General features: G+C 34.4%; 1 protein-coding gene across 7 annotated transcripts in view, besides 1 other annotated feature; it reads left to right on the top strand.

Annotated features, from left to right (window-relative positions):
* The window catches only part of STPG2 (sperm tail PG-rich repeat containing 2), a 702,228-nt gene that overhangs the window by 536,581 nt on the left and 142,658 nt on the right, over positions 1-22,989 (top strand). The gene's annotated exons all lie outside the window — the stretch shown is intronic.
* Positions 17,865-19,064: an enhancer, noted in NCBI's record as "P300/CBP strongly-dependent group 1 enhancer chr4:98508983-98510182 (GRCh37/hg19 assembly coordinates)". NCBI's record gives its function as "activates an origin of replication core promoter dependent on BRD2, BRD4, P300/CBP, MED14 and CDK7 cofactors, with strong dependence on P300/CBP, by STARR-seq in HCT116 cells {active_cell/tissue: HCT116}" and the evidence as "EXISTENCE:reporter gene assay evidence [ECO:0000049][PMID:35650434]".

Below are 22,989 nucleotides of genomic sequence, written 5' to 3'. Positions count from 1 at the left end.
AATTTAAAATATGTCCAACTGTTTTTCATTTCTCTTAGCACTATCTTTGTAAATTGTATTTATAGAATTATAGGCATTTTTTACATAACAAGAAAGATGGTAAAATGGAAGTACTTAAAAACACATATGTTTAGAGGTAAAAGACAAAATAGCATAAAGAGTCTTAAAGCTAAATAATCACCATCATTAACAATTCATTTGGACTCAATAAAAATAATTACAATATATACAAAATAACACATTGTGATTTTTAAAGAATATCTTTCACAAAAATTGCTATGCTAGAAATAAAAACAGCCAGTGAATGACTCAAACTTGTATTACATTTAATTAGTTTTCTTGTTGAAGCACATCTCAGAGAAAATGTACACAGAATTTATATGTATCTCTGAACTTGATCTATCTCTCTCTCTATATATATTTGTTTTTTCCAATAAAATATTTTTACACTTTCTGTATTTTTGGTACAATGCAGCTCACTGATAGAGAGTACCACTTATAGGATTTGCAGAAAATATGTATTCACAGGACAGCAGGCCTCTTAAAGTCTCATGGTTATAGTCATATTCAGTAAGGAAACCAGTTAAAGTCTAAAATAAAATAAACAAAACTTACTTAAAAATAGGAATATTTAACAGAGTCTTTATTTAGAAAATAGTGTTCATTTTAACGAGCATTGCTATGCTTAAGAACACATACAATGATGCAGCCAAAGGTCATGCAATAAAATCACAAAATGCCCCACGTGATGGGAAAAGCACACATTTAAAAATAGGCATCATCAGCATCCTGTATTTTGAAAGGTCCTAAATCATTTCAAATCATTCTAAAGAAGGTGAATAGAGCTGAGCTGCTGCTTTGAAGTAGTTTGTTTTTCAGTTCTTATCTAGGAATAAAAATTAGATCTAAAAATTCCATAGCAGGAGGCTTTATGACACCTATAAAACTCACAGCAATTAAATTGCCATGGCTTTGAACTAGTTTTTTAAATAATTTTTTTTGTGGAACGTTTTGAGATGAGACTGAGGAACTTGTAGTGGGTTTGTTCTTTGTTTCTAAACACAGATTTTTTTTTTCTTTTTTTTGTATTAATGCAAATATTATTGAAATCCCTGATTTGGCTTTGAAAAATGTCTAAATTGTCTGATAGGTATTGAAACTCTCTAAGTTTATAAATACAACCTGATTACAGTATAGGAATCATAATGATTCTAGTATATTTACATATATTGTTATTAATTTCCTATTAGCATCAACAACTTACTGTTAAAACACAATACCTCTATGCAAAACTTCCAAGTCACAGTCATTTCTCAATTATTAATTTAATTGTTAAAATGATATTAATAATAAGTGGCAACATATTTTATTCAATATTCAAAGTGCAGGTCTTAAAACCATGAACTGGATCTTAGTCCCAAATCTATCTATTCATATTTTTGCAATTTTAGACAACTAGCACAAACTTTTTAGGCTTCTGATATTTCCTTCTTAAATGTTTCATAGAGATAGTGTGTGTTTCAAATGCATGAAAGCATATTTTAAACTCTAAATGCTTTCAGCACTACTAAGTATATTGTATATTGAAGTACTTTATGTAAATTTTTCACTAGTTTGGGAAGTTTCCTATGATTTTGGAAATTCTTTTCTTTAGAAAAGTATATTTGATATAGAAGTTCACATCCCTATGCTTGTAAAAGCTAAAAAGGTAATGAAATACAGTGTAGAGCTGAATGTCGTTTCTTTTTATCAAGAAAGAAAAGAAGCAAATGGGTATAACTGTCAAACTAAGTAAATGCATACATGATAGAATTAAGCATTGTTCTTTAATGGGTTATTTTCCGTTACTGAAGGCAGTTTAAAGGTTAATACAGCGTCTTAGGCCAATGGGAGAAGCTTTGGTTTATTTTTTAGAGAGTATAAGGATATATTCTAAAGTTCTATTTTATTTACTTTTCCTTAAGAAGACGAGGGAAAAGGAGAAGATATTTGCTGTCTGTAGTATTTCTTAAAGAATACTAGACAGATTATCTTGCCTTTGAAATGGAGAAGGGAAAGGCATATTAAATATGATTATGCTCAGATACTTAGTATGTTTGGTTTAGAATGTAAGATAAATCAGAAGCAGCCTTTTTGGCAGCCAGACCTGGCCATTAAAATATTTCATTTCTCAAGTATTATTAACAAATTTATCTCTCTTCACATTCTAAAGCCTTATTTCTTTGAATTTTCTAGAAAAAAATGAGTCAACGAAATATGAGCTTTTACACTAGAGAGAACCGGTAAAGATTGGGCTCTTTTCTTATGGGTAGCAGAAGGGTAGAGGAGAACTCTAAGAGGATTAAACTCATTCAGATGATATTTTGACTCTCAGTCAAATAATTGCTCAAGAGGGGCATCCTGTCATTCAACATCACATCTGTTTTGAGACAGAATGCTCAGACTGTGCCTTGGAACTAGGTATTGGAAACTAGAAACCTAAATTGTTGGTGCCACTACATCTCTTTTCTCCTTTTTGTTTCAAGGAGCACTCTTCAATTGTCTGTTTAGACATATGCTTCTTTTTTAAATGCCAATTATTAAAGCGTTCCCAGTTCAATTCAATGTGGATATACTATAAAATATTTTTGAAATGTCATCTTCCCTTTTCCAAATTTCTCCCTAAAACTCAGATGACTTGAAAGATATGAGGCTATCCTTCTAGAATATGGATTACTAGATTACTATTTCAAATACAGGGCTGCCCTAGAGTAAAACTGAGTCCAAAAATTAATATAAAAGCATACCCAGATTCCGAGTTTCATGACTAAGTCTTTTCAACTATGGAAAAGATTTTCCCATATAAAGTTTTCAGAAATGGAGAGTATATTTTAAGATTAATTTTCACTTTTATTTTCAATTGCGGTGCAATATATATAACATAAAATTTACCCTTTTAACCATTTATAGTGGTTTAGTAATGTTAAGTACATTGACATTTTTTGTGCAACCAATCTCCAGAACTCTTTTCATCTTGCAAAACTGAAACTTTATATCCATTAAGCAACTCACCATCTCTCCCTTCAGCCAGCTTGTGGCAATCACCATTCTACTTTCTGTCTCTATTAATTTTACTATTCTAAGTACTTCACATAAGTGAAATCATACAGTATTTGCCTTTTTGTGACTGACTTATTTTACTTACCATGAGACCCTCAAGGTTCATCCATGATTTAGCATGTATCAGAATTTCCTTCCTGAATAATATTGCATTTTATATATATAACGATATATATATGTGTGTGTATATATATAGATATATCACATTGTGTTTACCCATTCATGTGTTGATGAGCACTTGGGTTGCTTCCACATTTTAGCTATCTTGAATAATGCTACTGTGGAGGTACAGCTATCTTTTTGAGACCCTGCTTTCAATTCTTTTGGATATATACCCAGAAGTATAATTGCTTGATCTTATGGTAATTCTATTTTTAATTTTTTAAGTAACAGCCATACTGTTTACCATAGTAGCTACACTATTCTACATTCCCAACAGCCATGTACAACTGTTCCAATTTGTACACATTCTTGCCAAAATTTGTTGTTTTCTATTTTTTTGATAGTAGCCATCCTGTTGAATGTGAGGTGGTATCTCATTTTGGTTTTGATGTGTATTTCCCTGATATGTAATATTGAGCATCTTTTTGTGTGTTTGTTGGATATTTGTATATCTTCTTTGGAGAAATACCTATTTAAGTTTTTTGCCTGTTTTTTAAATTGGTTTGTTTGTTTTTTGTAGTTGAGTTTTAAAAGTTTTTATATATTCTGGACACAAACTCCTTATCAGATATATTATTTGCAAATATTTGTTTCTATTTCATAGGCCATCTTTTCTGTTGATTGTATTCTTTGAAGCATGCTTTAAAACTAATTTAATGTAAACTGTTGAAATTGATAAACCAGCCAGAAATGTAACAGAACTACATTGGTTATGTCTAGATGATGTTATGTATTTCTATTTTGTTTTTTCTATCCTTATGATTTACATTTTCTGGTTAAAAATGGCCAATTGATTATGTGCACTTTAACTTCTCTCAATTCCAAAATTTTACTATGCAATAAAGGCGTAAAATAATGAATCCTTGTACAGACTAAGATAATGGAGGATTAGAAAATACATTTGTGCATTAATATGTTAGAAGAAATAAGAGAAAATCATGCAATAATCTCAGTAGATGCCAAAAAACCATGACAAAAAGTGTCCCATAAAACTCAACATACATTTTTAATAAAAATTCCTAGGAAATCAGTGTTAGAAGGAATTTTTGTTAATGTAATTAAGAGTATCTATCCAAAAACATAGAGTAAACATTGTATTCAATGTTATAATGTTAGAAGCATTTTATTTAAATTCAAGAAAGAGAAAAAGATGCGTGATATTTTTACTTCTACTTAACAAAGTAATAGAGGCACTATCTTGAGCAGTAAGAAAAAGGGAAAATAAGTGTGTGTGGAGATTGGTATGGAATAGGTCTATACAGATTGGAGCAGGAGGATGGATGGAGTTTTAAAGAACAAAAACTGTCCTTTGACTGACAAGGTCATCAGATGCATTTTAGATTTTGAAAAATAAAATTGATAGCTATTAGATTTGGTGAAATATGGGAAACATTAGTGATAGATACATAGTACATGGATAAAATGAAAAAATAAGTTCAACAACTGACATTATTTGAAGATGATGTTGACAACATAGAAAAAAAGTAAAATAATCTATGGGCAAATAATAAAATTTATGAGAGATTTTGGCAATCTTCAGTCATAAGATCATTATATTAAAAGCAATTGCATGTCTATATCCTGGTAGTAATTAGAATATGTAAAATTATTTAAAACCTACTATGTAAATAGCAACAAAATATGGGGTACATAGAAATAAATCTAACAAAAGAAGTATAAACATATATTTAAATGACCAAAATAAATGGAAAAATGTGCCATGTTCATGAGTAGGAAGATTCTCAAGTTTCAATTCTCCCAACTTGATCTATAAATTTAGTAACTAAGGATTTCTTGAGGAACTTGACAAGTTTGTTTAAAATTTATTTGCAATTATAAAGAATATATAACACACTCCTAAGGAAGAACATTCTGGAGAAATTTCCATACCACATTACAAGATTTTATAGTGCAATAGTAATTCAATCAGTGAGATATCAGACCTATGGAATAGAATTCCTCAAAACAGATGTATGCATATATGGATCCTTGATATGAAACAGGGACATGGAGCCCTTCCTTACACCATATAGAAAAATCAGCTCAAGATGGATTAAAGACTTAAATATAAGTCCCACTTACAGATCAGTGGGAAAAAGATGGACTTTGAGAGTTATACCACAAAAAATTCAATCACCCATACGGGAAAAAAAGAAATTGGATTTTTACAACATGCCATATGCAAAAATCAATTCTGGTTAGATGAAATAACTTGAAAAGCACAATTTAAAAACTTTGATAAGAATATGTAGAATCTATACTTATATAAGATTCTTTTTTTGCTTAACATATTAGAAGAAGTCTGGGATACTAAATATCTAATATAAGCTTTAGAATGAGCAAATAAAATAAGGAATTTAACAAAGAGACAATATGAAAAATTCTCCCTTGACTTAAAGGCATTCATCTCTGGAGTGAAGGAACCTGCCAATGTCCTGGTACACTTAATGGAAAAGCAAGCAAAAACAAAAGCACAAATAAATACGAAGGCACATTATTTTGAAGTTCCTGCAACAATTGGAATAATGAAACCATGAAAAAATCTTAAGGTCAATTTTGTCTTCATCTCATCCATCCCACTCCTATCCCAATCACTTTCATCACATTTTTTCACATCATCTTTTCCCTTCTATTTCTTCTTCTGATATGTGATAGTCATCCTCACTTTGCTAGGTTATTTCAATAACCTCCAAAATAACCTCTTTGGCTAAAATTTCTCTGCATTCCAATTTATGAATCCTATGTGTAGACAAATCCTAGGATTTGTCAGTCCTGGAAATTCAGATTAGCTGTGCCCCAAAGTACTGACTGACTTTCTGTTACTCTTTAAACTAAGTCTAAATTTCTCATTTTAGGCTTTAACGGTCTATATAAAACTATTGCGCTATTTTTGAACTTTCCCCCACTATGCATATGCATAGCCTGTGCTATAGCTATTTTTTGTGTGTGTATGTGTGTGTCTGTGTGTGACTATATCTTCTAGACACTGCCTCATTAGTTTGCTCACACAGTGTCATCCACAGATAAATATTATCTGCATAGGTCTGTAAAAATCCAATCTAAGCTTCAAAGCCCAATTTAAATGCTGTTTCTTTTATGAAATCCATTATGAGCCCTCGCCAATGTAAAATAGGCATTAACGTCATTGGAGATCAATATTTATTTGAACTCTTTCAAAACATTTCCTTTTTTCTGGTTTTTGCTTTGTAACTATATGTATGCTTATTTTATACATAGTATTTTATTTTAAGCCCTTTGAAGAAAGGACTTTATTTTAGACATGTTTATATTCTAGCACCTAGCATGTTCTGGTACAAGGGAAAAATGATTTGATAAATACTTGTTGCATTGAATTAAATTCTTTTTACATGTGCTATTATTATTTTTTAATTTTTATTTTAGGGTTGGGGCACATGTACAGATTTTTGCATAGATAAATTGTGTGTCATAGGGGTTTGGTGTACAGATTCTTTCATAACCCAGGTAATAAAGCATATTATCTGATAGACAGTTTTTTGATCCTCACGCTCCACCAACCTTCCACCCTCAAGTAGGTCCTAATATTTGTTGTTTTTCCCTTTGTGTCCATGTGTACTCAATGTTTAGCTTCCATTTATAAGTGAGGACATGCACTATTTGGTTTTCTGTGTCTGTGTTAGTTCATTTAGGATAATGGCCTCCAGCTCCATCCATGTTGCAGCAAAGAACGTGATCTCCTTCTTCCTATGACTAAGCAGTATTTCATGGAGTATATGTGCCACATTTTCTTTTCTTTTTTTTCCTTTTCTTTTCTTTTCTTTTTTTTTTTTTTGAGACAGAATCTCACACTGTCACCCAGGCTGGAGTTCAGTGGCACGATCTCCACTCACTGCAAGCTCCACCTCCGAGGTTCACGCCATTCTCCTGCCTCAGCCTCCCGAGTAGCTGGGACTATGGGTGCCCGCCACCACGCCCTGGTAATTTTTTGTATTCTTTAGTAGAGACGGGGTTTCACCGTGTTACCCAGGATGGTCTTGATCTCCTGACCTGATGATCTGCCCGCCTCGGCCTCCCAAAGTGCTGGGATTACAGGCATGAGCCACCGCACCCGGCCTATATGTACCACATTTTCTTTATCCAATCTACCATTGATAGGCATTTAGGTTGATTCCATTCTTGCTACTGTGAATAGTGCTGTGATGAACATATGTATGCATATGTCTTTATGGTAGAATGATTTATATTCATTTGGGAACATACCCAATAATGGGATTGCTGAGTCAAATGGTAGTTCTGTTCTAAGTTCTTTGAGGAATCACAAAACACTGCTTTCCACAAGGGCTTAACTAATTTCCATTCCCACCAGAGGTGTATAAGCACTGCCTTTTCTCTGCAACCTTGCCAGCATCTCTTATTTTTTGACTTTTTAATAATAGTCACTCTGACTGGTGTGAGATGGTGGTTTAGACTTGCATTTCTCTAACGATCAGTGCTGTTGAGTGTTTTTTTCATATGCTTGCTGGCCGCAAATATGTCTTCTTTTGATAAGGGTCCTCTGCCCACTTTCAATGGGGTTACTTGGTTTTTGCTTGTAGAATTGTTTAAGTTACTTATAGATGCTGGATATTAGACCTTTGTAGAATGCATAGCTTGCAAATATTTTCTCCCATTCTGCAGGTTGTCTGTTGAAATCTTTTGCTGGCAGAAGCTCTTTAGTTTAATCAGGTCCCATTTGTCATTTTTTTGTTGTTGTTGTTGCAGTTGCTTTTGGTGTCTTTGTCATGAAATCTTTGCCAGGTTCCATGTCCAGAATGGTATTTATTAGGTTATCTCTCAGGGTTTTTATAGATTTAGGTTTTATATTTAAGGCTTTAATCCATCTTGAGTTGACTTTTCTATATGGTGTAAGGAAGGGCTCCAATTTCAATCTTCTGTATATGGCTAGTCAGTTATCCCAGCACCATTTATTGAATAGGGAATTATTTTCCCGTTGCTTGTTTTTGTCAACTTCTTCAAAGATCAGAGGGTTGTAGGTGTGCAGCTTGATATTGGGCTCTCTACCCTGTTCCATTGTTCTATATGTCTGTTTTTTTTTTTTTTACCAGTACCATGCTGTTTGGGCTACTGTAGTCTTGTAGTGTAGTTTGAAGTTGGGTAGTGTGAAGCCTGCAGCTTTGGTTTTTGCTGTTGTTGTTGTTGTGTGTTTGCTTGTTTTTGCTTAGGATTGCTTTGGCTATTTAGTTTCTTTTTTGGTTCCATATGAATTTTAAAATGTTTTTTTTTCTAATTCCGTGAAGAATGTCATTGGTAGTTTGGAATAGTGTTGAATCTATAAACTGCTTTGGGCAGTACTGTCGTTTTAACAATATTGATTCTTCCTATCAGTAAGCATGGACTGTTTTTCCATTTGTATGTTTCATCTCTGATTTCTTTTAGCAGTCTTTTGTAATTTTTCTGTAGAGATATTTCACCTTCCCTGTTAGCTGTATTCCTACGTATTTGTTTCTTTTTGTGGCTATTGTGAATGGGATTGCATTATTGATTTGACTCTCAGCTTGGATGTTGTTGGTGTATGAGAATGCTACTGATTTTGTACATTATTTTTGTATCTTGAAATTCTGCTGAAGTTTTTTTTTTTAAATCAGATCAAGGGGCTTTCAGACAGAGATGATTGATTTTCTAGGTATAGAATCATATCATCTGCAACCAGAGATAGTTTGATTTCCTCTCTTCTCTTTGGATGCCTTTTATTTCTTTCTCTTACCTGGTTTCTTTGGCTAGGGTTCCAATACTATTTTGGACAGGAGTGGTGAGAGTGGGCATCATTGTCTTCTTCTGATTCTCAAGGGAAATGCTACCACCTTTTGCCCATTCAGTATGATGTAGGTTGTGGGTTTGTCATAGATGGCTCTTATACTTCCGATGTATGTTGTTTCAATGCCTCATTTGTTGAGAGTTTTTAACATGAAGGGATGTTGAATTTTATCAAAAGCCTTTTCTGCATCTAGTGAGATGATCATGTGGTTTTTTATTTTATTTCTGTTTATGTAATAAATCACATTTATTGATTTGCATATATTGAAACAACCTTGCATCCCAGGGAAAAAGTCTACTTAATCTTGGTGGATTAGCTTTTTGATCACTGCTGGATTTTCTTTGCTAGAGTTTCGTTGAAGGATACTGGGTAAAAGTTTTCTTTCTTAGTTGAATCTCTGCCAGGTTTTGGTATCAGGATGATGCTGGCTTCGTAGAATGAGTTAGTGAGGAGTCCATTCTCCTCAATTTTTTGGAATAGTTTCGGTAGGAATGGTATCAGCTCTTTCTTATACATCTGGTAGGATTTGGCTGTGAATCCATCTGGTTGTGGGCTTTTTTTCATTGGTAGGATTTTTATAACTGATTCAATTTTGCAACTCATTATTGGTCTGTTCAGGAATTCAGTTTCTTCCTAGCGCATTCTCAGGAGGTTGAATGTGTACAGGAATTTATCTATTATTCTAAGTTTTCTAATTTTTGTGCATAGAGGTGTTCGTAGTAATCTCAGAATTCTTGTATTTCTGTGCAGATGGTGGTAATGACTCCTTTGTCATTTTTTCTTGTGTTTATTTGGACCTTCTCTGTTTTTCTCTTAGTCTAGCTGGGCATCTGTCCATTTTATTTATTCTTTCATGAAAACAAACTCTTGGATGTATTGATCTTTGTGTGGTTTCTCGTCCCATTTTTTTTTCAGTTCAGCTCTGATTTTGGTTATTTCTTGTTTTCTGCTAGCTTGGGGATTTGTTTGCTCTTGTTTCTCTAGCTCCTTTAAATTTAATGTTAGGTTGTTAATTTTAGATTTTTCTCACTTTTTGGTGAGGGCAGTTAGTGCTATTAAACTTCTCTCTTAACTCTGCTTTAGCTATGTCCCAGAGGTTCTGTTATGTTTTATCTTTTTTTCTCATTAGTTTCAAACAATATTTTGATTACTGCCTTAATTTCATTGTTTATTCAAAAGTCATTCTGGAGCAGGTTGTTTCATTTTCCTGCAATTGTATAGTTTTGAGCAATCTTCTTACTATCTATTTCAGTTTTTATTGTGTTATGATCTGAGAGTGTGGGTGGTATGATTTTGGCTTTTTTGAATCTACTGAGGATTGTTTTATGGCCAATTATGTGGTCCATTTTAGAATATGTGCTATGTGCAAATGAGAGGAAAGTATATTCTGTTGTTTTGGGTAGAGAGTTCAGTAGATGTCTGTTAGGTAGCTTGGTCAAGTGTCAAGTTCAGGTTCCAAATGTCTTTGTATATTTTTAATTTATTTTTTTCTGTCTCAGTGATCTGTCTAATGGTGTCAGTGTAATACTACTATTATTGGGTGGAAATCTAAGTCTCTTCTTACATCTCAAAGAACTTACTTTTTAATCTGGTGCTCCTGTATTGGATGCAAATATATTTAGGACAGTTAGGTCTTCTTGTTAAATTGAAGCCTTTACCATTGTGTAATGCCCTTCTTTTTTTATCTTTGTTAGTTTGAAGTCTGTTTCATCTGAAATTAGAATAGCAACCCCTGATTTTTTTCTGTTTTCTGTTTGCTTGGTAGATTTTTCTTCATATATTTACTTTGAGCATTTGTGTGTTATTGCATGTGAGGTGGATCTCTTGAAGAAAGCGTATTGTTGGTTTTTGCTTCTTTATTGAACTTGCCAGTCTGTGCCTTTTACTTGGGGCATTTAGCCCATTTACATTCAAGGTTAATATTGATGTATGTGAATTTGATTCGGTGATCATGTTGTTAGCTAGTTATTATGCAGACTTTATTGTGTAGTTGCTTTATAGTGTCAATAGTCTATGTACGTAAGTGTGTTTTTGTGGTGGCAAGTAATTGTCTTTCATTTTTATACTGAGCACCTCCTTCAGGACCACTTGTAAGATAGGTCTGGTGGTAACAAATTCCCTTAGCATTTGCTTACTTGAAAAGGATCTTTTTTGTCCTTTGCTTATGAGGCTTACTTTGGCTGGATATTAAATTCTTGGTTGGAATTTTTCTTTTTTTTTCTTTTTTTGTTTTTTTATTTTTATTATACTTTAAGTTCTAGGGTACATGTGCACAACATGCAGGTTTGTTACATATGTATACATGTGACATGTTGGTGTGCTGTACCCATTAACTCATCATTTACATTAGGTATATCTCCTAATGCTAACCCTCCCCTCTCCCCCTACCCCATGACAGGCCCCGGTGTGTGATGTTCCCCTTCCTGTGTCCAAGTGTTCTCATTGTTCAATTCCCACCTATGAGTGAGAACATGTGGTGTTTGTTTTTTGTCCTTGCGATAGTTCGCTGAGAATGATGGTTTCCAGCTTCATCCATGTCCCTACAAAGGACATGAACTCATCCTTTTTTATGGCTGCATAGTATTCCATGGTGTATATGTGCCACATTTTCTTAATCCAGTCTATCATTGTTGGACATTTGGGTTGGTTCCAAGTCTTTGCTATTGTGAATAGTGCTGCAGTAAACATATGTGTGCATGTGTCTTTATAGCAGCATGATTTATAATCCTTTGGGTGTATACCCAGTAATGAGATTGCTGAGTCAAATGGTATTTCTAGGTCTAGATCCTTGAGGAATCGCCACACTGACTTCCACAATGGTTGAACTAGTTTACAGTCCCACCAACAGTGTAAAAGTGTTCCTATTTCTCCACATCCTCTCCAGCACCTGTTGTTTCCTGACTTTTTAATGATCGCCATTCTAACTGGTGTGAGATGGTATCTCCTTGTGGTTTTGATTTGCATTTCTCTGAAGGCCAGTGATGATGAGCATTTTAAGAATACTGAATATATGCTCCCAATCTTTTCTGGCTTGTAGAATTTCTGCTGAAGGGTCCTCTGTTAACCTGATGGGGTTCCCTTTGATGGTGACCTGCCCCTTCTCTTTATCTGCCTTTAATGATTTTTCTTTAATTTCATTCTTGGAGAATCTGTGTGTTGGGGATGGTCATTTTGTATAGTTTCTCAGAAGTCTTATCTGGATTTCCTGAATGTGAATGTTGGCTTTTCCGGTGAGGTTGGAGAAATTTTCATGAACAATATTCTGAAGTAGGTTTTTCAACTTGCTTGATTTCTCTCCCTCTCTTCCAGGGATGCCAGTGAGATGTAGATTTGGTCTCTTTACCTAGTCCTATATTTGCCAGAGGTTTCATTCTTTCTTCTTTAATCTTTTTTCTTTATTTTTGTTTGGCTATTGTGGAGAACCAGTCTTCGAGCTCTGAGATTCTTTCCTCAGCTTTGCTGATTCTGCTGTTAATACTTCGGATTATATTCTGAAATTCTTGACATGAGTTTTTCAGCTCTATCAGATCAGTTTGGTTCTTTCTTAAAATGGTTATTTTGTGTTTCATCTCCTGCATCATTTTATTGTATTCCTTAGAATCCTTGAATTGGGTTTTCACTTTCTTCTGAATCTTGATGAAGTTCATTCCTATCCTTATTCTGAATTCTATTTCTGTCATTTCAGCCATTTCAGCCTTGTTAAAAACCATTGCTGGGGAACGAGTACAGTTTTGGAGGTTAGAAGACACTGGCTTTTTGAATTTCCAGAGTTATTGTGCTGCTTCTTTCTCATCTGTATGGGCTGACGTTCCTTCAGTCTTTGAAGTTGCTGGCCTTTGGATGGGGCTTTATGCTTTTATCTTCTTTGCTGTCCTTGGGAGTTTTGATTGTGGGTTCAGTTGACTGGCTTCATTTCTGGAAGAACTTAAGGCATCATGGCTCGGCTCAGCATTTCTGGGCTACATGCTCCAAATCTTGGGGGGCGGTTACCTAGCCCCTGGTTTTGTTCTCTGGCCCCTCAAGGTTGTGAACCTTCTGCATTTGAGGGGCTGAGGTGTTCTTGTACCACTGGCCACAGCACTCTGATGTGTAGTGCTCGCTAAAGTGCTTCCTTAGAGCAGTGTCAGTGGGATCCATGCTCCTTCATGCGTTCCAGCATCAGTGACAGTGTGGTGGGGTACAGGGGCATTGGCTGGGGTGGTGTAGCAGTGGGTCTGGGGCTGCAGTGTTTCTGCATGTGCTCATGCCCACAGTGGCAGCAGGGTGCTGACAGGCGTTGGGCTGCTGAACTCCATGCTCACCCATGCAGTGATGGTGGTGTTGGCATGGGGAGGTGGGGTTGTTGGCATCCGTGTACAAATTCTCACGTGCAATGGTGGCATAGCTAGGCAAGAATTGCGGTTGGGTGTGCGAGACCCAGGATGCGCTGACACCAGGATGCTAGCATCAGTGTCATGCAGGATGTGCACACACGCACACCATTGTCGGAGGGGAGGTGACGTCTGCCCATGTACACTGGCAAAGCAGTGGAAGGGGTGGCTGTGGACAAGTGCTTGCTGGCAAAGTAGCATGAGGAGGCTACTGTGGGAGAAGAGTGGGGGTGGGCTGGTGCCTGTCGGCAGGGGCTGCTCTGCTGGAATTCCCTGATGGTCAGACATAATCTCCCAGTGAAGGAGCTATGATGAGGACTCCTGGGAAGCACCCTAGTTGGGCATCTGAGGCTGCACTGCAATAGGTGTGGCCAGGCTGGGACCCTGGGGAAGGCCAGCAAACAAGGGAGTGCTCAGATCAAACTGGCCTTGTTTCAAAGGCAAGACTGTTCTGTTCTGTCCAGGTAGTCCCTTGTGGTTAAAGTCTCTTAGAGGAGCATGATGTGCCTTGGGCATCCCTGGTAATGCTCTACTGAAGACGCTCCCACCACAAACACTCTGGGCTCTACAGAGGCTGGAGTCCTGTCCCTACCACCTCTCTAAGCAGCTCTCTCTGCCACCTCAAGTGCCCTTGGGGGTTGTGGGGTCTCCAGCTGCCAGGATTCCAGTGGTCTATGGTGAGAGGGGATCATCTTGCCTATTTAACTCACCCATTCCCCAGGAGTCACTGGTGGCCAAAAACGAGTTCTGGTGCACAGTAGCCCCATGGTGTGTTCCCAGCTTCCTTGCCCTTCAGCCCAGCACCTGTGTCTTCCCTCTGTTGACTGTTAATGCCTTTCTTCCAAATATCTGCTTGGAGTGTACCAGTCTTCCTGATGTTCAGGTCTCTTAGTGGGAGATGTTCTTCCTGGCTACAGCTAGTTGGCTGTTTTGAATCTGCCTGAGTTAAATTCTTAACTTTGTTTAATTAGAATATAGTTTTAATATAAAAAAGAGATTTGATTAAAATTTTCATAATAAAAGTAGGCTTTATATGTGTGAATTAATTACTTGAGCTTGATGTATTGAGATCTCAAAAAACATATTGGCATGGGCCTAGGTATAAAAAAATGTGTATAATCATTTCATTATCATAATACATAAACAACTGTAATGAAGCAGACCTTTTAAGTGAGAATTCTAATATTTTTTGGCTTTCATTTATTAGATTTTAAGAATGGATTGATATATTCTTTTACATAATAAATAAAAAATGAGTATTAGTTTGGGTTCTCCAGTCCCAGTATGGTAATTAAAAAATTTTACCAATTTTTATGTTATTATTTAAGTGTTAATTATATTTATTAAGATGGCGATTTTTCTATTGCCCTTTCCAATTACTGTTTCTTCTCAACTTTTGTTAAATGTAACTTACTTATTAGAAGACTACATGTTAATATATTTCCTTTTTGTACAATTCACATGTTTTTAGTTTTAGGCATATCATTTAATCACAAAAATGATTTTCAGGTACTGGGATATTTTTCTAAATTTTTCAAAGATATACTATGTACAGGGAATTCATAAAAAGAACATCTAGTTAAGAGCATATTTTTTAGCATTTCTTATGAATCGCAACAAATTCTACTCTGGAAATCTTAATGTACCTCCTCTGAGAAGGCATTTTGGGTTAGCTACCAACATCCTGACTGATGACATTCACAGGATTAATGAGAAGGTTAGTGTATGCCTTCTGAGGAAACCATGATTTGGATATTGATGCAAGAAGAGAAAACCAATTTGGTTGCAGTGAACCATGGCAGACTGGGGTACAACATTGCTTGAAAGAAATAAAAAAGTACACTGGTCAGAATTTTATCCCTCTATCTCTTATTTCACATCATTTTTCACCTTCAAGTGTGGTGATCTGTGGAAGAATCAGGTTATCCAAAAAGGGCACCATTTATTTATAACTACAAAAATTCTCCAAACTGCTAAAACTTCCTTTCCTTTTGCTTCAGAAATCAAGCAAGTCTGCTTATGGAATGATTCACATGGAAATAATATATAACTTAGCCTTTATTATTATGTAAACTGATTAATGTTAAAGAAAATTGAGCTACATATATTCATCCATTGCTACCAGAGTAAACCCTTATGTTATATATTCAACTATTTTTTTCTGGCTTAATTTCAAATCCAGGGTTTACTAATGGAAATTGATTTATAAAATAAAAATGTTAAATTTTTATTTAAATTCATTTTAAGTAATCTGACAAATGGATCTTTTCTCTTTAGTTTTAAATTTCTTTATCATCATACAGTTATTTGTTAGTTACATGCTTATCATTTCATCAACTAATATTAATATCTTCTGTCTTTTAACTATTTTTACTGTTGGTCTGTGAAGAACTTGCAGGGTTATTCTGCATGCTTTTGATATTGAAGTATGCAACTAAAATAAATATTCCAGAAGCAACTTCAATATAATTGTTTAGTGAAGAATTCACTTCTTGGTTTTGATATGAGATGTCTTGTACTTATCAGAAAATAGCAATGGCCTATTTTCCTGATGCATTTTAATGTCAATCCAGAAAGCAATTAATTTGCTTTACATTTCCATCCCCTCTTTATGCAAAATCTGAGAATAAAACTGCATCATGTTTTCTTCTCTAATTTCTTGTGTTGTAGTAACTTATTTGTGCAATATATAGGCATTAATATTATTAATTTCTTTATCATTCTAATTTTTACACCTGCATTTTTGTTAATACTTGAGTCAGGTATACTTCTTTGTTGGTCCTTTAATGTTTCTCTCTGTGTGTGTGTGTGTGTGTGTGTGTGTGTGTGTGTCTGTGTGTCTGTGTGTATGTAGGCCAAAGCAACTCCATCTTGGATACTAATTCACCATATTGACTTCTGAATAACCCTAGTTCAAGAAAGACCTCTAAGATTTCCAGTTTGTCTATCATTTCTTGTGTAAGAATAGGCACTGACTGTAAATCCTGCCCTTAGGACAAACGACCTCGATGTTATCATGCTTCAGTTGTCCTACACATACCTTCTAATTTACCCTTTCCCTATAGTATATAAGCCCTGGATCCAAGGAATAATGATACAGGCATCCCCCATCTTGTCTTGCTGCTGACCGAGACACAGATGATTGCTTCTGTTCGTAAGTCTTTATTAAATGTTTCCAAGAAACTGAATTTGTCAGCTTCTTTCTTCAGCCTTTCAGCTTCCTTGGACTCTTGGGGGTAGGTTGCATAGACCTGCCCTCCATGGAACAGTGTCCCCTATGCATATATAAATTATATGAGAATGTTTTCTATATAAGTATATGTATTTATTGTATTTTTAGGCTAAAGACACCTAGACAGACTAAATTTAAGCACCTATAACAGGAGTTAGCTGACTATGACTCATGGGCTAAATATGATCTGATGCTAAGTTTTGTAAATAAAGTTTCATCACTTAATGATGAGCAAACATTCTAAGAAATGCATCCCTCTTTAGTCAATTTCACCACTATACAAACACCATAGAGGGTTTAATAAACTTAGATGGTATAGCCTAGTGCTCCTAAGCTACAAACTTGGATAACATCTTACTGTACTGAATACTACAGGCAATTGTAACACAGTGGTAAGTGTTTGTGTGTCTAAATAGAATTAAACAAATGGAAAAATAGAACTACAGTATAAAAGATTAAAAAATGATACACTTGTATGTGCACTTAATATAAATGAAGCTTGAAGGATCACAGTCACATTTGCGAACCGTCATTGCCGGGAACATTCATGACGTGGCACATTACTGTATATTGCCTATGGTGCATTTGCACTACAAAGGCTGAGTTGAATAGTTATGACCAAGACAATAGGATTTACAGAGGCTAAAATATTTGCTATTTAGCCTTTTACAGGAAAAGCTTGCCAACTCCTGACCTAGAAAATTGTCGTATGGTTAAGTATTTAATAAATATTTGTTAAGGGAATGAATTATTAAATTAATATATGAATCAATGAATTTAACAATTGTTAGGTTAAAAATTACTGATCATGGATTATTAACATTGCTTTTATTACTTTAAAATATTTATATATTTTTTAATTCACAAAACTACAAAGATGTTAATAAAAGTAGGCTATTCCCTACTATATAATGGCTTTCCCATATAATGGCTATTGATGTTGCTAAATAAAAACAACACACATATATAATGCAAAAACTGGGTAATTGGTTTTTTTTTTGGTGATTTTATTCAGCAAATAAACTTCATGTATAATTATATGCACATACAAAAACATACAAGAGAACATACCTTTCACTACATTTTATCCCTTATTTTTCCTCTTGGAGATTTTTCCATATTAACACATAGATATCTATCTTCTACCTGTTTTTAACTGCATCGTATTTACTTAAGAGTAGGCACTCTGGAATCAGACTGCAGTGGTTTACATCCCATTTCTACCAATTCAGAGTTGTAGAACACTGGGCAAGAACTTCCCATGTTTGCATTTTTCATCTGCAAAGTAGAGGTATAATTCCAAAATTTTGTGTGGGTTATGTAAAACTATACAAATTAAATGCTAAGAAGAGTAGGTAGCATAGAAAATGCTAAGTGCTAGCTGCTGTTTTTGTTTTTGATAGTATTTTTGGATACTTTAATTGTTCCCAGTATTTTTGTTATTTTTGTTTTGCAAAAGATATCTTTTAAAATATATCTTGGAAAACTTTGATAATCATATCGGTAAAACAAATCCAAGTTGTGGGTTTTCTGAGTCAAAAGGGATATCCCTGTCAATTTTTAAAAAATATTGCCAAATTATTTTTCAGAAATCGTGTTCCAACTTACATTCTCTCTGATGATATGAGCTTCTTTTTATTGCACTCTTGCCTGCAGTGGATAGCATCAGAGTTTTTAAATTTGCCAATTGGATTGGTGAAAATGATTCCTTTTTAATTTCCTTTTTGTAATAAAGGTAGAATATCTTTTCAGGTATTTATTATTGATTTGTACATTTTGGTCTGTAAATACCTGTTCATATCTCATATTCAATACACACTAAGATAGTTTATCTCCTTCCAATTGGATGTATAAGCTCTTCATAAATTAAGCAAAATACATCTGCCTTGTGTAATATAAATAAGCTTTCCTTGGATAATGTATTTTTTTCAGTTGCATTTATGGTATTTTTTTCCTGTACAGAGTAGTTAATTTTTTTAATCAAATTTATCAGTCTTTTGAGGAAGCTAGTTCTGATTTATTTCTCTAGAGATGGGGTTCGTCATATTGGCCAGGCTGATCTTGAACTCCTAACCTCAAGTGATCTACCCACCTTGGCATCCCAAAGTGCTGGGATTATAGGCGTGAGTCACCATGATTGGTTCTGATTCACTTCTTACACATATACTTTCTGTGTCATTTTACTATTTGTAATATCATACATTTGATTACCTAAGTTGAGAAAGCAAATTTCAGCCTAATTTCAGAAAGCAAATCTCAGGGTCATCTCTTCCTCCTATCACAGCCATGATGAAAACTACCTGAAGATGAATGGGATTCTGAAATTAATTTTTATTTAGGGATCCCTGTAAATACACTGATGCCCACAGCTATCAGGAATTCATTCAGACTTAAGGAGGGTCAGGATTATCCCTAATGTTTAATTCCTAGTTTCTAATTCCTTTAGAAAATAAACACTAATCCATTTTAATATTCTGTAACATGTTGGGGCCAGAGTTATAATAGGGGTGGGGCCTTGAACTGGATGTGAGAAATATGAAACAGAAATTTAAGACATTTTAGGACTACAAAGACTATTCTGTAAAATACTTCCAAACTTCTACAGATCTCAGACAAAGGAATGGAATTGGGCCACTATTAAAAACACCGTAAGTTAAAAATAAGGCCACAGGACTTGTATGCTAAGTCCTGTGACCCACCTCAACTGTTAATGTTACCTATATTATCAAACTTGAAGGTTCTTATTGTTTTTAAAATTCTGGATATTTTTCTCATTTCTGAAATATCCTCATTGTACTTCTTCAGTTACCAAGAAGCTATAAAGCCACATATCCATGGAATATTATTGAATGTTATCTTTAGAATAGTATAACACAAAGAAACCTGTTGGTCCAAAGTAATGTGGGCTACAATGGTACCTAATTATAAACAATATAATTTCTTAGGAAATCAGAGCTTTAAAAAATGCTTTGCATAATAATTACTTTAATATTTGAAATATTTAACTAGTTATTTAGAGGAAGAGGGAAAATGATGGTAAATAAAAATTTACCCATTTCATTCATCCATTTACTAAATATTTATTAAACACTAATATGTGTTAATCATTCTGAAAAATACAATGGACATATTAAGATGAGTGAATTATGAAGTTAATTCTCTAGATACTTGTGTTTTACTAGCAAAGACAAACATTACCTTTATAGCCACTTTGATAATTGCCATACATAAGAGTGGCATAAAATCTGAATGATATTTGTTATAATTTTTGTTTTAATCATCAAATGTGATTTATAAAACTCATGAGAAAAAGGAAAGTCTATTGAGTGTATCCATATTTCTGCTCTGTGGTTTCTTCTTCCTTGCCGATGCTCCAAGATTCTTTTATTATTTCCTTTCTCTCTACAGAACTTCTGTTACATGATGTTTAATGGTAAGTTGATTAGCAACAAATTCTTTTAGTTTGCCTTCACCTGAGAATATCTTTAGTTCCCCTTGATTCCTGAAGGATAATTTTTCCAATATAGAATTCATGTTGATGGTGTTTTCCTTTCAATACTTTAAAAACATTATTCTATTTCTTTCTGGCATCCTTTGTTTTATAAGACAAATCTGCTGGCCTTCAAATTGGTGTTTCCCCATAAATAAGATGCCTTTCTCTCTAGGTGCTTTAAAGATTTTTATTTTGTCTTTCATTTTCAAAAGTTTGATTAAGATTTGACTTGCAGTAATTTCTTTGAGTTTATCCTGTTTGGAGTTTACTCAGCTCTTTGAATATGTAATTATGTGTCTTCCATCAAATTTTGGAAGTTTTAAGCCATTAATTATTTGAATATACTTTTAACCTTATTGTCTTTCTCTTTTCCTTCCAGGACTTAGATGATATAAATATCGGTTATTATTATATAGTCTCTTGGGTCCCTTAGACTTTGTTCTTTTTTCAGTATATTTTTCTTATTGCTTAGTGTTAGATGAATTGTATTGGTCTGTCCTCAGTTTCACTGATTGTATTGTCTGTTATCTCACTCTATTATTGTGTCCATCCAGGGAGTTTTCTATTACTGAATTTTTGGGTTCTATAATTTCCATTTGTTTCTTTTAAATAATTTATTTGCTGAAATTTTATATTTTTTATTTGTTGTAAGAGAATTTACAATTGATTGTTGAATCATTTTATGATGGGTCTCTTAAAATCCTTACAGATAATTGTGACATCTAATTCTTCTCAGTTTGGCATCAGTCTTTTCTCTTTATGGTTTTGAACATCTTGGTTTTTGGTATGATGGGCGATTTTTAATTATATCTTAGACATTTCATCTATTTTTTTCTATTTTGTCTGGGTTTTATTTAAATTTTTTTTTATTTTAGCAGACAGTCACTCTGTTTAGGTTCAGCGCACAGTACCTGATCTGTTTTTGAGGGTTAAGGCTCTAATAACAGTTTAATTTTTAGATGCTTTGCAGTGTTACATTAAGCTTTTTGGTTTATCTGGTATCACTGGATATCCTACTTGTGCCTTCTGTTTCTAAATGAGAAGATAGGAGCTGATTCCTGGACTAGGCCATGAGCATTCTCCCAGAGTGATAGGGGAACCTAAAACATATGAAAACAGTGAGGCTCCCTTGCTGTGGCACAGTTAGCTGTCTGAAAGATCTAGAAAACTTTCCAGTCTGGGTTCTTGCTGTGACAAGATTCTCTCTACCAATACACTTTGGCCACATTAGTTTTTTTTAGATGGGCAAGGGAGGGGAGTGTTAGACCCACAGGATCAAAGAGGCTTCTGTGTTGGGCTTCTTGTTGTGGTTAGATTTTTCTTGCTAATGCTACCTCAGCCACCTTGGTGTTTCTCACTGGATGAGGGAAGTTTTGGATCTGGCAGTGAAGGAGAACTTTTTCCTGGTTGCTTAATGTTGATAAGGTTCTTGATTGATCCCATTGATGGTGTTCACTGGATATCCTGCATTTATGATTTTTGTTTTTAATTCTGTTCATGTGATGTATCACATTTATTGACTTGCATATGTTAAACCATCCCTGCATCCCTGGTAGAAATCTACTGGATCATGGTGGATTATCTTTTTGATAATGCTGTTGGATGTTAACTTGTAGTTTTGTTTTTTTTTTTTTTTTTTTTTTTGAGAATATTTTATGTCCTTTCCTGGTTTTAGTATTAGGGGGACTTTTATGTCCTTTCCTGGTTTTAGTATTAGGGGAATACTGGCTTCATGGAATCATTTTCAGAGGATTCCTCCTTTCTTTATATTTTGGAATAGTTTCAGTAAGATTGGTACCAATTATTCTCTGAGTGCCTGAAAGAATTCAGCTGTGAATCCATCTGGTTCTGGACTTTTTTTGTTGGCAATTTTTGTTATTACTATTTTAATCTTGCTACCTGTTATTGGTCTGTTCAGAGTTTCTATTTTTTTCCTGATTTAATCTAGGAGGGTTGTATATTTGGAGGATTTTTTCCATCTCCTCTAGATTTACTTGAGGTCTTCATAGTAGCCTTGAATGATCTTTTGTATTTCTGCTGTATTGGTGTAATATCTCCTGTTTCATTTCTAATTGAGCTTATTTGGATCTTCTCTGTTTTCTTGAGTAATCCTGCTAATGGTCTATCATTTTTGTTTATCTTTTCAAAGAATCAGCTTTTTGTTTCATTTATCTTTTGTATTATTTTGCTTCAATTTCATTTAGTTCTGCTCTGATCTTTGTTATTTCTTTTCTTTTGCTGGGTTTGGATTTGGTGTGTTCTTGTTTCTCTGTTTCCTTGAGGTGTGACCTTAGATTGTCTGTTTCTGCTCTCTCAGACTTTTTGATGTAGGTATTTAATGCTATGAACTTTCCTCTTTACACCACTTTTGCTGTATCCCAGAGGTTTTGATAAGTTTTGTCACTATTATCATTCAGTTCTAAGAATTTTTAGATTTCCATCTTGATTTCATTGTTGATGCAAAGATCCTTCAGGAGCAGATTATTTAATTTCCATGTATTTGTATAATTTTGAGGGTTTCTTTTGGAGTTAATGACCAGTTTTATTACACTGCGTTCTGAGAGGGTAGTCAATATAATTTTGATTTTCTTAAATTTATTGAGACTTGTTTTGTGGTCTATCATGTGGTGTATCTTGGGGAATGTTCCATATGCTAATGAAAATAATGAGCATTCTGCAGTTGTTGGGTAGAATGTTCTGTAAATACCAGTTGAGTCCATTTGTTCTAGGGTATAGTTTAAGTCCATTGTTTCTTTGTTGACACTCTATCTTGATAACCTGTATATCTAGTGCTGTCAGTGGAGTGCTGAAGCCCCCCACTACTATTGTCTTGCTGTGT

Source organism: Homo sapiens, chromosome 4 (assembly GCF_000001405.40).
Source record: "Homo sapiens chromosome 4, GRCh38.p14 Primary Assembly".
NCBI classification, from domain to species: Eukaryota; Metazoa; Chordata; class Mammalia; order Primates; family Hominidae; genus Homo; species Homo sapiens.
Note: the sequence above shows the minus strand (reverse complement) of the source record. Positions and strands in the feature narration are given on the sequence as shown.